The sequence below is a fragment of the Homo sapiens genome, chromosome X (genome assembly GCF_000001405.40).
Source record: "Homo sapiens chromosome X, GRCh38.p14 Primary Assembly".
Taxonomy (NCBI): domain Eukaryota; kingdom Metazoa; phylum Chordata; class Mammalia; order Primates; family Hominidae; genus Homo; species Homo sapiens.
The window spans coordinates 124,230,466-124,245,828 of NC_000023.11; the positions used below are offsets into that span (position 1 = coordinate 124,230,466).

At 42.2% G+C, this 15,363-nt stretch overlaps 1 annotated feature.

The window, feature by feature from the left end:
- Window positions 766-1,269: an enhancer, noted in NCBI's record as "NANOG hESC enhancer chrX:123365081-123365584 (GRCh37/hg19 assembly coordinates)". NCBI's record gives its function as "activates a minimal SCP1, AML or CMV promoter by ChIP-STARR-seq in naive H9 embryonic stem cells {active_cell/tissue: H9 hESC(naive)}" and the evidence as "EXISTENCE:reporter gene assay evidence [ECO:0000049][PMID:30033119]".

A 15,363-nucleotide genomic window follows, 5' to 3' on the forward strand; every position in this document is an offset into this window, starting at 1 on the left:
TGCATGCGTGTGCTCCCGTATGGAGGTGGAGGAGGGCTCTCTAGTATCTTACAAATGACACAGACATAGATAGCTTTCTTTGCCTATGTCTAAAGTCGGCTCAGCTACTTTGTTATGCCCCAGATTCCTAGGACTTTCTGGGAGATGTTAGGCAGAGTTCTTTTTCCTAAAAGGACAGAAAAATGAAAGGTTTAAAACTAAACCCTGACTCCCAGGTAAGATGCAACCCTTACTGAAATAGCACTATGTCAGCAAAACATGGTCTCATTGGCTCATTATCAGGTGAGGTCAGGACATTATTTCTGGTAGCTTCTGAAAGCCACAGCCTGTTAGAAAAAAAAAATCTTCTTCCTGAGGGTTTAATACAGCTTGCTCTCAGTTCTCAGGAGCGCTCTCGCTCGATCCCTCTCTCTTTTCTTGGGCCTCCTTTTAAAATGCTAATTAAATTTACTTGATCTCCACTCCGCGCTCCCCCCGCTAATTTTGGAGATCAAGAAAGGGAGCTTGATGTGTATAATAGATGTGCTTGTCTTTCCACCTGAGCTACCTTTGTATTTCATTCCCTTTTATTACAGGAAATTGTGTCGGGGCCCTAAACACTAACATACATAACATTGATTGTATTCTGCATAACAAATTGGATTAGGATAATTACCACACAGATGTTAAAAAATCCTGAATGCAAATCAATGCAATTAGTCATGACTTAATATACTATAATTCACACATTGGAATGTCTTATTGTGATTATACTATTTTAGAACTAAATGCATTAACAAAAAAAATTCTTTTGCTCTGTGCTGCACGTGCTCTGAACAAGAAATTGTTTTATGCTAATCTGGAATTCCACCACTCAGAATTCTTATTAACTAATCAGATCCTTCAATTTCTCTTGCCCTCTTTTATATAGAGAAAGCCGCTTCTTTAGCAAGACAATTTCATGCGCAATTCAACTTGAATGCCACCATTATGAACAAAGGAATTTGCACACGGATGCTTTTGACAAACATGGCTTTAGAAAACTGAGCCTTGGTGGTGGGGGGAAAGCCCTCCCCACTGATGGCCAGACCCCAAAACAAAGCAGATAGAGTGTAAGCAATTGGAATGGGTCCAAGTTAGTAGGCAAAAAGCAGACCTGTCACAAGGGCAGTAGGCTCAGAGCTGCCAGAAAGGGTTGTGCAGCTTGTACCCAGCTGAGAGGGTGAGTGGGGGCTGAACTCCAGCCTGGAATTCATGCTCCAAGCTGTGCACCAAAAGCAATGCTGTCTCTGACCCCAGGAAAGGGCTCCTTTTCCTAATTCACACAAAAGTGCCTGTGGGTACAAGGCAGGAGTTCGGTCACAGAGAAAAAATAACAGCAGCTGGGACCCCTTGATTCTGAACTGTGAACTCAAATCCAATTCCTAAAGTCTTTTTTGGCTTATCCTACCTTCCAGTGTTCTGTGCTGGCTTAGAATTGCTTAGAGTTCAAGGTGCTCATAGAACCTGTGATCTACATGGTACACTCTTTTTGCCTGTGATCTACACGGTATACTCTTTTTGCAATTGTTCTGTATCTGATTTATGTCAAAGCTTTGCAAACCCAACTGATCTGGGGGACCCTTGAGGGCTACGCTTGTGCCATCATAATCCTCTCTGAAGTCCTCCCACCTAGGGTTACCAGATGTAGCAAATAAAAATACAGAATGCCAGTTAAATGTGAATTTCAGATATATAAAAAATGCTTTTTTGCCTGAGCACGGTGGCTCATGCCTGTAATCCCAGCACTTTGGGAGGCCAAGGCAAGCGGATCACTTGAGTACAGGAGTTCGAGACCAGTCTGGGCAACATAGGGAGGCACTATCTTTACAAAAAATAAAAAAATTATCCAGGTGTGGTGGCCTGTGCCTATAATCCCAGCTACTCAGGGGGATGAGGTGGGAGGATCACTTGAGCCCCGGGGTTGAGGCTGCAGTGATCTGAGATCGCGCCACTGCACTCCAGCCCGGGTGACAGAGACACTGTCTCAAAAAAAAAAAAAAGCATTTTTAGCATAATTATATCCTATGCAATATTTTGGACATATTATATTAAAAAATGGCCATTTATCTGAAATTCAAATTGAATTGGGTGTTCTGTGTTTTATCTGGCAACACCACCCCCACCCTGGCACAAAGCGCAGAGCTTCATGTTTAAAATAAAACTAGGCCAGCGTTTCTTACACTTGAGCATGTAATCAGAATCACCTGGAGGTGAGTAAGACCTAGAGTGCTGGGGCCCCACCCCCAGAGTTTCTGATTCAGCAAGTCTGGAGTGTTGCCTGAAAATCTGCATTTCTAAAAAGTACCCAGGTGATGCTGCAGCTGATCTGGGGACCACACTTTGGGAACTGATGCTCTAGTATAAGCTTAATAAATAGATCCAATGGGGATGAGGCTGTTGCTCCCAAGTTGACGTTAAGCCAGCAGAATGCTTCACAGACCTCATAGCAGGGTTTGTGGGCTCCCTGGCAATGTTTACTCAAGGTATGCATCTATTTAGCTCTGGTAACCTCAGCTCCCTCCCTGTGTAATCTCTCTTGATTGCATTCACTTGGCAATAGGCAAAGTTGTGGTTTGTCTTTGTTGCATCCAGTCTTGTTTTCACTCTGTCAATTTTTACTCTCCTACCCTCCTCCCTGCCTCTTCAGGTGCCAATGTCTTTCTAGTCTCTAACTTAGGGATGGCAAACCTACATGTTGTGAGTACTGGTGAAGAAGGACTCTACTTGCTTCCCAAGTAGGAAAGCAAGCTTTTGGAGGTAGTTGGCCACTTTTAGTGAACATATTGATTCCCTTTGAGGCTCTCTTTCTTTGTTCCAGGCAAGTCACCAAAATGGCCTTTTACTGAAATTGAGATCAAGATCCTGAATTTCAGACTGAATTTCTATTTGAGGCCCAAAGTTTTTGTAACATGTTGGGATGATCTAGGCTGGTCCTGGCCAATTCCAGGGGTTGGGAAAAAGCAATAAAACTCTTGAGATAGAAGGAGACAGGACCAAGTGGCTGGTCTGTACACTGGGAGTCCTGAGGTGCAGGGAGGATTGGGGGATGTTTCTGCCAAATCTCTGAAGCTGCTGCTACGAGAATCCGCCTCAACACAGCCCCTCCAGTGGGCAGGTTTAAGCCACAAGCAAGGATTCATGTGTGGGAAAGAGTTGGAAAACCTCAGGACGACTTTATCTTGAAACATTTGTTGCAACCATGCCCCAGCATTCCTGTGGGTGATAGTCTAGCCCAGGGGCCATGGCTGAGTGGTGGTATCCAGGTGTATATCTGATATCCTATATTCTAAGGGACCCCAAGATAAAGGCTGAATTTCCCATCAATATGGGTTTGTAAAAACTCAGTCATGCTGGGTGCGGTGGCTCACGCCTGTAAAACTAGGACTTTGGGAGGGTGAGGCTGGTGGATCACCTGAGGTCAGGAGTTCGAGACCAACCTGGCCAACATGGTAAAACGCTCTCTACTAAAAATACAAAAATTAGCTGGGCATGGTGGCGGTCTCCTATAATCCTAGCTACTCGGGAGGCTGAGGCAGGAGAATCATTTGAACCTGGGGGGCGGAGTGTGCAGTGAGCCGAGATCTTGCTACTTCACTCCAGCCTGGGCAAAAGAGCAAAACTACGTCTCAAAAAAACAAACAAAAAACTCAGTCATAATAATTTGAGCATTAAAAGAAATGTCAAAATATGTGTCCAAGTGATGGGATGCACACTACATGTGATACATATGTTTAAAACTACCTTGGTGAAAATTATAATAGTGAAAGAGATCTGATCTAACCAACTCTTATCTTGCCGTGAACCTCCAACCTGTTCATTCCTGGGTGTAGGCTGTGCTAACTATAGGAGGAATTTAGTTTATAGTTTAACTTTGAAACAAAGATGATAGCTCTTTGCCCAAACAAAGGCTCTCCATGCCTCGGGACGAGACTGCCTTTGTAAAACTGACAAATTAGCCACGCGATTAGAAAGTATGGTTTAGGAGTCTTTCATCCAGAGGCCACAAGATTCCTAACCTCCCCAGTTGCTCTTCTGGATAACATCACTACTGTATAATCTAACATTGGTGTTTGGGATACTTTTCAGACACCGCATTCTGACGGATCAGCTGGCGCCACCCAGACCAGAAATCTGACTCAACTAGTTCAGGAACTGAAGACAGCAAGAACTACCCCTTGACTCCAGGTGATTTCATCCCCAACCCGACCAATCAGTATTCTCCACTTCTTAGCCCCCTGCCTGCCAAATTATTGTTATTATTATTATTATTAATTTTTTATTTTTGAGACAGAGTCTCTGTCTGTTGCCCAGGCTGGAGTGCAGTGGCGCCATCTCGGCTCACTGCAACCTCCGCCTCCTGGGTTCAAGAGATTCCTGTGCCTCAGCTTCCCAAGTTGCTGGGATTACAGGCACCCATCACTACACCCAGCTTATTTTTTGTATTTTTTAGTAGAGATGGCCAGACTGGTCTTGAACTCCTGACCTCAGGCGATCCACCTGCCTCGGCCTCCCAAACTGCTGGGATTACAGGCTTGAGCCACTGCTCCCGGCCCAAATTATTCCTAAAAAACCCTAGTCTCTGAATTATCAGTGAGACTGATTTGAGTAATAAAACTCTGTTCTCCAGCCCTGCGTGGTGGCTCATGCCTGTAATCCCAGCACTTTTGGAGGCCAAGGTGGGCGGATCACAAGGTCAGGAGTTCACGACCAGCCTGACCAATATGGTGAAACCCCGTCTCTACTAAAAATACAAAAATTAGCCAAGTGTGGTGGCGCGCGCCTGTAGTCCCAGCTGCTCAGGAGGCTGAGACAGGAGAATCCGCTGAACCCGGGAGGCGGAGGTTGCAGTGAGCAGAGATCGCGCCACTGCACTCCAGCCTGGGCGACAGAGCGAGACTCTGTCTCAAACAAAAAACAAAAAACAAAAAACAAACAAACAAAAAAACCCACCACCAACAAAAAACTCTGTTCTCCTGTTTAGTTGGCTGTATGTGTATGATTAAACTCTTTATCTCAGTTCTCCTGTCTCAGTAAACCAGCTCTATCTTGGCAGCAGGCAAAAAGACTCTTGTTGCCTCCCTTTTTTGCATCCATAGTGGACACTGTTATTTGTTCATAGCCTTTCCCACAGAGTTTTGGTGTGCCCTTTGAATCCTTCTGTTAGAATATTCTTGGTTGCAAGTAACAGAAAACAAACTTATAAATAAATCCTTACCTAGCATTTACTATGTGCCAGGCAGGGGACTAAAGCCTTTATACATTCACAAAATTTACAGATCCTTTTAAACCAGCCATAGAAGGTAGAGTAGTTATCCCAATTTTACATATTAGACAAAAAGGGGATTTTTATTCTTTTTCTTTTTTCTTTTTGTTTTGAGACTGAGTCTCACTCTGTTGGCCAGGCTGGAGTGCAGTGGTGCAATCTTGGCTCACTGCAACCTCTGCCTCCCGAGTTCAAGCGATTCTTGTGCCTCAGCCTCCCAAGTAGCTGGGATTACAGGCGCCCAGCACCACACCTGGCTAATCTTTGTGTTTTTAGTAGAGATGGGATTTCACCATGTTGGCCAGACTAGTCTCGAACTCCTGGCCTCAAGTGATCAGCCCACTTCGGCCTCAAAACGCACTGGGATTATAGGTGTTAGCCACTGAGCCTGACCCTTTTTTTTTTTTTTTCTTTTTAGTAGAGATGCAGCGTGTCTCCCAAAACCCAAGTTCCTGAATATAGGTGACCTTCAAAGATAAACTGGACCACAGGATAAACACAATGTGGATTCTCTCTCTACTTCTTGCTTCTGCACCCCTTTGTTCCTGTGTTTCATTCTTCTTTCTATAGACCAGCTTTTTCTTGTCCATATGGAGAAAAACATGGTAGGTAACATCACCTGGGTTTTACATGTTATGGATTTGACCATCCACAGAGAGGAGCTGAGCTTTTTTTTTACAGTAGCTTCACAGTATTTTATTTTTTCTTTATTTTTTTTAAATGGACAAAATTGTATATACTTATGGCATATTAACATGATGTTTTGAAATGTGTATACATTATGGAATGGCTAAATCAAATTAATATATCCATTCCTTCACACACTTATATATTTGAGATGAGTACACTTAAAATCTATTCTCTTAAAACATTTTAAGTATACAATCCATTGTTATTAACTGCAGTCACTGTGTTGTACAATATATCTTTTGAATTTATTCCTCCCATTTAACTGAATTTTTGTATCCTTTGACCAACATCTCCCCAATACCTTACCACCCAGCATGTGGTTACCACCATTCTGCTCTCTGCTTCTATTAGTTTAACTTTTTTAGATTCAACATATAAATGAGATCAGGTGGTATTTATCTTCTCAGAGAGAGAAACTCCCTTCCTTCCTTCCTTCCTGCCTGCCTGCCTGCCTGCCTGCCTGCCTTCCTTCCTTCCTTCCTTCCTTCCTTCCTTCCTTCCTTCCTTCCTTCCTCCCTCCCTCCCTCTCTCTCTCTTTCTTTCTTTCTTTTTCCTTCTCTCTTTCTCTCTTTCTTTCTTTTTCCTTCTCTCTTTCTCTCTTTCTTTCTTGAGTTTCGCTCTTGTCGCCCAGGCTGGAATGCAATGGCATGATCTTGACTCACTACAACCTCCACTTCCCGGGTTCAAGCAATTTTCCTGCCTCAGCCTCCCGAGTAGCTGGGATTACAGCCGCGCACCACCATGCCTGGCTAATTTTTGTATTTTTAGAAGAGACGGGGATTCAGCATGTTGGCCAGGCTAGTCTTGAACTCCTGACCTCAGGTGATCCATTTGCCTCAGCCTCCCAAAGTGCTAGGATTACAGGCATGAGCCACCGTGCCTGGCTGAAACTTATTTCTTAATTTAAAAATCCCCTGGGAAGAGATTTCTTGGCTCAATTTGTGTTAGGTGTGCAGCCCTGGATGCATTCTCCTAGGGATCAACCTTTACTGACCCAATGCAACTTGCGAAAGAGGGATATAAAAACCATGGACAGAGGGCTGTGAATCTCACTGTAGAAACATGCCGTTCCCTCAGGCACTGAATGGATATAGAAGGGAAGGGAAAAGCCCTTGAAATAAGTATTGGGAATAAAATACCTGCCCACAACACCTTAACACAGCATCCCATCTGGTTTCTGCCAAGTGATCAGAATTGATACACGCTACTATTTGTCATCTCTGCCCTGGCTGCCTCCTATCAGTATAGGAAATTGATGTGGTATTCTCATTTGTACTGACTGTATTGGTCCAAGGAGAAGATCCTTATATCTGTCCAAGTTGCACACCCCACCCCCAACCCCCTTTCCCTGGCTTTGTAACGCCTTCCTGCTGTTATCCACTACTTCTTGACCTCATCCTGTATCATCCTGTAGGAGAACTCAGTCAACTGATTGCACTTCTAAGAAGCTTTTTCTAGACATGGTGCCAGAGCTGTTGTGGACAAGGAAATTGCCCTTGAGGAAGATGTGGCAGTTAGAGGAGTGAGGCAGGATGGCTGTGTCATCAAGAAAGTTTGTCCGACAATTTAGGCAGGACCTCACAGGGTACTGGTTAGATCCAGAAGCTGAATTTTGTCAGAGATACTTAGAGATCTGTAATCTCCTGGGCATAGACTCATGCTAACCAATGTAAATCACAAGGGATAGAGATATTAATACAAAGCTATAATTCCAACTTATTTTCAGGAGTACAGAGAACTATTAATCAGGCTGGAGTTGGCATGTCAGCTGGTCAGGCTAGACCTGAAAGAAAAGCTAAATGATAGCAGAAGATTGTTTATGGAGCAAGGAATGAAAACTAGGAGCAGTTCCTTGGATGATCTTAATGGCATCTGCCATTCACCTGTGACAGCCCCACCCTTGGGATAGATCAAAGAGGAGAGACAAAATACTCATATTTGTATGTGAAGATGAGCTCTCCTGGACTAGTTGAGCAACATGTTGAGAGTTTCTTGTTCTTTGACTCATTTTCTAGATCTCTATCCACACTTGCCTCTACTTTGGTTAACACATCTATCTTAAGCCTCAAATTATCAAGCTATTAGCAGTGTTACCTCAAAACCAGAGTTCTGAGAAAGGAACATTGTTCTGCAGGATGATAATTGATGTTTTTCAGTTAAAAATGTCTTTTACATGGTCGACATTGAGTTAAATAGGTTTCTTTCCCACAGGATGTCTGAGAGCCTTTAGTGAACCAATATACACTGTGAATTTCCAAAAGAAGGGTAGAACCTGCAAATTTATTTGACCACTTAGTTGTATTTTTCAAAAGAAGTTATGCTGAGTGAAACAAGCCAGGCACAGAAAGACAAATACTGCATCATTTCACTTACATGTGGAATCTAAAAAAGTTAAGCCCACAGAAGCAGAGAGTAGAATGGTGGTTACCAGAGGTTGGGATAGGGGGCAGGGATAGAGGTTGGGATAGGTTGGCATTAGAATGGGGAGATGTTGGGCAAAGGATACAAAATTTCAATTGGACAGGAGGAATAAGTTTTCAAGAGCTATTGTAAAGCATGGTTATCATAGTCAATAATAAAGCATATTTAAATTGCCAAAAGAATAAATTTTAAATGTTCTCACTACAAAAAAGTATATGAGGTGATAGAAATCCTAACTAGGTTAGTATAATCATTTCACAGTGTGTACATATATCAAAGCATCACCTTGTACCCCATAAATATATACAATTGTTATTTGTCAATTAAAAGTAAACATTTTAAAAAAGTTATGAGGGAGAATGTCTTAGTTTCCTATCTCTGCTGCACAAACTTGTTGGTTTAAAACACAATTTTTTATTTTACAGTTCTGTAGTTCAGAAGTCCTGAAATCAAGGAGTCAGCAGAGCTGTGTTCCTTCTGGAGGCTCTAGAGGGGAATCTATTTCCTTGCTCTTCCCAGTTGCTAGGGATTACCCACATTTCTTGGCTTATGGCCCCTTTCTTCATCTTCAAAGCCAGTGACAGCATATCATCTTCAAATCTCTCTCTCTCTCTCCCTCTCCCTCTCCTCCCCTCACCGCCTCTCTACCTCCCACTTCACTGCCCCTCCCTTTTGCTCTGTCATCATATCTCTACCTTCTGACTCTGATGCTTCTGCTTCCTTCTGTTATAAGGACTCTTGTGATTACATCTGTCCTACTAGATAATCCAGATAATCATCCCACCTCAAGATCTTTAGCTCAATCTCATCTGCAAAGTCCTTTTTGCCATGTAAGGTAACACGTTGATAGGTTTCAGGGATTAGGATGTGAACCTCTTTGGAGAGAGTTATCATTTGACCTACCACAGGGAGCAATGGGAAATACTGGACTATGGTATTAAACATGCTAATACAATCATACTCTACTAGGGTTATGCTAGTGTCAAACCTGATCAGATTTGGGGAGTTCCTGACATTTCTCAGATACCTCTTTAGAGGCTGGAGTTGGCTTCTACACTACCGACAAGATCTAATGTTCTCTACTGGTGGGGCAGTGGCAGAAGCTCCTGAAGGGAGAAGGAGCAAGGGCTTGTGCACTGAAGAAGGGGATTTTCCCCAAAGCTTCTTCTCAGAAACATACCCTTCTCAAAAAGACCAAAGTCATGCAGAAGAATTCCGTGGCAGTGGGTTAAAGTTACCTGTTTAATCGAAAGTAGAGATAACCTATCACTTTCATTTCAAATGGAAACCTGGGCTCCAGAATGTCTTAAATGACAGTGTTACCAACCTGGGAAACCCCCCGTTGACTGGTGAGCAAGAAAGTAAGGCTGAAAGCAGGCGATCTTTTTATGCCACCTAATGTATTTATGACAGGTGCTCTGCTGTGTTTGGAGAAATGGACACCCGAAGTTTTCGGCTTTCCTGCAGAGAATATGTGATCCCTTCTTTCTTTCTCTAAGGATATTTAACTGTATTTCATGATATGACAATAATAACTCTTGACTTTGATATAGTTTCTGCTAGGTCTGGGGTCCTCAGAACTGACTACATCACCAGAAATAAAACTGAAGACTAGATAGGGGTTATTGAGATCCCATTAAATACTGCCTTGGATAAGAACAGTAATTTCAGCTTAAGTGCTTGATTATGCTGAAGATTCTATTGCAGAGTATGAGTAACTTAGACTGAGAAATAATTCCTCATGTGGTTTTGGATCTGCTTGGGAAAATACATACCAGAGGTTTCCAGGCATCTCTTTCTTACCAAATCTCAATAGCATTTTCTTCACTCCCATGTTTTTCTCATCCCCACTGACACTGACTACCCTAACTTTTTATATTTTTTTAATATTTTGGCTTCAGTGGTCCAGCCTTATACTAGTTTTCCTTCTATTCTTTTGACCACATCTCTGCTTTATTTCCTGGCTCTTCTTTTTTCTTCTTTGTTATAACTGGATTCTCCTAAAGACATTCTCATGGACACTCTCCTCTTTATCTTTATATACTCTTTCGTCAATCCATCCATTAAACATTTAAAAAGTATTTAAATATTTATGTTTGGAGACCTGTATTGTGCTCTGGGGATAGATAAACGTATTAGACACAATCCTTGCCTTCTGGGAGCTCAAAAACTGGGGAAGGAGACAGAAAATCAATGAAAATAGTATAGTGTAATATTTAGTATGAAATATATAGGACATGTTTTATGGAACTCCATGGTAGGGGCATCTATATATTTCCAGTTGGGTTGCTTTCATCTAGAAATAACAGAAAATTCAAAATGATTTAAGCAATGAGGATAAATATTTCTGATAACAAGAAATGTAAAGCCACAGAGGTTCCAGAGTTTGTCAATTCAGTAGCTTAAGGACATCATTAAGAACCCAAGTGTTTTCCATCTTTTCATCTTTCTCATCTGCTATCTTAAGCAAATTCCTTTCAGGATTGCAAGAAAGCTGCAGTGGTTGCAGGCATCACATGTAGAAATGATAATGTTCACCAAAGAAAAAGGTGTTACTTGCAGTGAATTTGATTTTATGAAAAACCTATTTTTTTTTTTTTGAGACAGGGTCTCACTCTGTAGTCCAGGCTGGAGTGCAGTGACATGATCATGGCTCACTGCAGCCGCGACTTCCCAGGCTCAGGTCATTCTCCCACCTCAGCCTCCCAGGTGGCTGGGACTACAGGTGCATGCCACCATCCCGGCTAATTTTTTAAAAAAAATTTTTGTAGAGATGGGGTTTTGCTCTGTTGCCCAGGCTGGTCTCGAACTCCTGGGCTCAAGCAATACCGCCTGCCTCAGGCCTCCCAAAGTGTTGGGATTACAGATGTGAGCCATCGCGCCCCACTGAAAAACCTCTTTTTGAAGCCTCCACTCAACTTCTTTCAAGGACCCATTAACTAGGATTACCAATTACTGGCAAAGAGAATAAAGATGCCTTGATTGATTGGTTTAGATCAGGGGATCTCAGCTTTGGCTGCACGTGAGAGACACCTGGAGGGCTTTTAAAAAGCTCATGCCCAAGCATATCCTAGAGCAATTAAATCAGAATCTCTGACTGTGGACCCAGGGATCCACATTTTAAAAACTCCCCATCTGATTCCCCTGTGCAGCCAAGGTTGAGAACTATTGGTTTAGACCAATCCCTCTGATTTGTGTCTCTGGAGAGGGAAGAGCTCCCAGTCTCCCTTTAAGAACCGGAGTGACTGCTATAGGAGAAAATTGAGATTCTATACGCAAGGAAGAAATGAGGAATAGCTTTTTGGTGGGCAAATCACAATGTCTGCCACAGTGACTAATCAACATTCATGATTTCAGTTAGCATTTCTGTGAGGAGACTGATGCTTCTAGCTTTGACCTCGTCTGAGTTTCAACTGTTTCCTGGCATTTCTACTTGGATTTTTTCATCCACACCTCGATGTCAACTTGTTCCAAACCAAGTGTTCCAGCCTGCTGCCTCTCCTGATGACATTATTTTCATAACATGCTACTAGCATTCTCAGGATATTTCAGGCTCAAATTCTTGGAATCTTTTCTTCTCTGTCTCCTTTACGACTATTTAAAAAGTCGCCTCACCCTGTTTTCATTTTGTTTTCTGGAGATGTTTTTATTCCACTGTACTATATCCTCTTCCAGACTGGTTCAGACTGCCCTTGCAGCATTGTATACTTGCATTCTGTAACAGCTTCCTAGCTGGCTTCCTGATTCTAGCCTTAAACCTTTTCAGTTGATTCCGCATATCACTTGAACGAGTTTAGACATATTGTAGACATCACTGTAGACATAGTGCTAAGATACTGCTTTCATTATGTCACTCTGCACAATGCCTTTTGATGGTTTCCAAATCCTACCTGTTTTCAGGGTCCTCCAAATTTCAGGGTTTTCCCATCTATTAAGGCCTGGTTCCAGCCCTAGTTCCTGTAGGAGGCATTTTCCATTTACTCCAGACCTCTTGGATCCACACAGATCTTGGTTCAACTCCTGACTGTTACGTAACTACCTGTGTTTCCTTGGCAAGTTGCATATGCTTTCTGAGTTTTAGTTTCCTCATCAGTAAAGTGGGAATAATACTAGGTGTTTTTTTTTTTTTGAGACAGAGTCTTGCTCTGTCGCCCAGGCTGGAGTGCAGTGGCATGATCTCAGCTCACTGCAAACTTCACCGTCTGGGTTCAAGCGATTCTCGTGGTTCAGCCTCCTGAGTAGCTGGGACTGCAGGTATGCACCACCATGCCCAGCTAATTTTTGTATTGTTTGTGGGGATGGAGTTTTGTTATGTTGGCCAGGCTGGTCTCAAACTCCTGACCTCAAATGATTCCCCCTGGCCTTGGCCTCCCAGAGTGCTGGGATTACAGGCGTGAGCCAATGCCCCAGGCCACTAGTTTTCATCTCATAGGGTTATTATCAGGATTAAATGAGTTCCTTTTCTCCCTGCCTTTTTTCTGACATCTTATGTTGCCTACTTTTTAGTACATAATGTAGCCTTTTATTATCTAATGCCCTGTACCCTGGGCTCATTGTTTTTTGCATGTAAATATCTTTTCACTACAACTTGACAGACAAGCTCTTTTAAGGAAAGGCGCTGTACTTGCCACTTTTCTTGTGTGCCCTCCTGAATTCTGTTGTATGCTAAGCCCATATAGAAGGTATTCCACAATGTTTGTCCACTTTTTAAGTATTAAGTAGCACAAACAAAAAGTACTATAGGAGCTGGGAGAACAAATCTGTCTGCAGCTTAAGGAGATGGAACTTCTGTTCAGAGTTACTTTTTGCTGTCTGCCTTTCAGTCAGCAGCCTCCCTGCTTGGTTCCTGGCACTGAGTTTCAGGTGATCTCATTTGGATAGAAGAATCTCCATCCCAGTTTTCATTGCTTTCACTCTTGGAGCAAGGTAGAGATCTGACTTCTATGGCACTAAGCTTGCATTCAGTGGCCTGTTCATCATATCAGCAAAGGCTAATGTCTTTGTCTTCTGGTAGGGTAGGGTGATTTTCTCATTGGAAGCTCCATTTGGGTGTTGCTTTCTAAGTGTTACCAAAGTTGTTGCAAGGTGTTAATGCAAATGAGGATAAACAAAAGTGTGACTCTTTCTTGGAGAAAAAGGTATCATATATTTTGCTCTGTGGCTTCACATGGTTTTGGGTGTTTTTGTTGTTATTGTTTTGTTTACTTGTTTGATTCTCAAATTGTGATATTCCTCTTCCCTGTAACCCGTTTGAATTGGAATCTACATCACTGGGAGTTGGGAAAAAAAAGCCTTGGGCAGAGAATTAGAAGACCTGAGTTTGTTTGTAGCTTTAGCCAAGTTAGTCCTTCTTATTGTGCCTCAGTTTCCTCATTTGCAAAATAGGAATAATGCCTGCCCTGCCTATTTCACATTGATGTGGAGAGAAAAGATGACCAGCTGCATAAGCATGCTTAGGAAAGTGAAAAGCCTTTACAAATGTGAGGATGTATATATGTATGTATGTATGTATGCATGTATGTATTTATTTATTTGAGATGGAGTCTCGCTCTGTCGCCCAGGCTGGAGTGCAGTGGCGTGATCTCAGCTCACTGCAACCTCCGCCTCCCCAGTTCAAGCGATTCTCCTGCCTTAGCCAACTGGGTAGCTGGGATTACAGGCATGTGCCACCACGCCTGGCTAATTTTCATATTTTTAGTAGAGTTGGGGTCTCACCATGTTGGTCAGGCTGGTTTCAAACTCCTGACCTCGTGATCCCACCTCAGCCTTCCAAAGTGCTGGGATTACAGGCATGAGCCACCGTGCCCGGTCGGATGTATTCTTTTAAACGGCATTTAAACACAATCTGGCTTCAAGGGAACATTCTTTAACCACTGGGAGTTGATAGATTTTGCTTTTGTTATTAAGGATAACACTTATATTATTGTCTAAAGGTATTTGATGGTTTTCCAACCCTTCTTCCAGTGTTTATACTTATGTATGTGTGGGGGTGGTGGCAGGCTTCCAAAAACTGTATTCCATATGATTTTACCTTATCATAGGGTCATATATATGTGGTTTATATGAAAATTCTTATTTGCATTATAAGTAATCTCCCTTCCACGGTTCTTGTGGGTTTTAATGATTCATAATTAAATTTATTTTGAAATGTAATAATTTCCATTCTCTGAACACTTTACCATGTATTAAAAACTGGCCTTAGTCAATTTGATTTTATCTATGTTTATTTATATGGAGATAATGGTAGTCATTAAAAAAGTTTGAGATGAATTGGGATTACTTACTTTATTGCAATCTCCCTACGAAGTTATAATGAAAGCAAGTCTCAGACCAAATTTTGTCTTACACATTAACATTTATTAAATGAACATTGATTAATAGCAGTAACAAAAGAGCTCATATAAACAGTTTTTTAAGGTTGATGAAGTCCCAGCTCTCTGTCCTTTTAAAGGCTTTTAACAAAACATACCTCAATGAGTCACAGGAGGAAGGCACACTCACATTTTAGAAGCAGAATTTTTAAAAATCTTGTTTTTGGTCGAGTGCAGTAGCTCACGCCTGTAATCCCAGCATTTTGGGAGGCCGAGGCGGGTGGATCACCTGAGGTCAGGAGTTCGACACCAGCCTGGCCAATATGGTGAAACCCCGTTTCTACTAAAAATACAAAAAATTTAGCTGGTTGTGGTGGCATGCGCCTGTAATCCCAGCTACTTGGGAGGCTGAGACAGGAGAATCACTTGAACCCAGGAGGCAGAGGTTGCAGTGAGCCGAGATCACGCCACTGCAATCCAGCCTGGGCCACAGAGTGAGACACCATTTCAAAAATAATAATAATACTTTTTTATTGAAGTAACATTCACATAACATAAAATGAACCATTAACCATTTTAAAGTGTACAATTTGGTGGCATCTACTGCATTCACAATGTTGTATAAGCATCACCACTATCTAATTCCAGAACATTTAA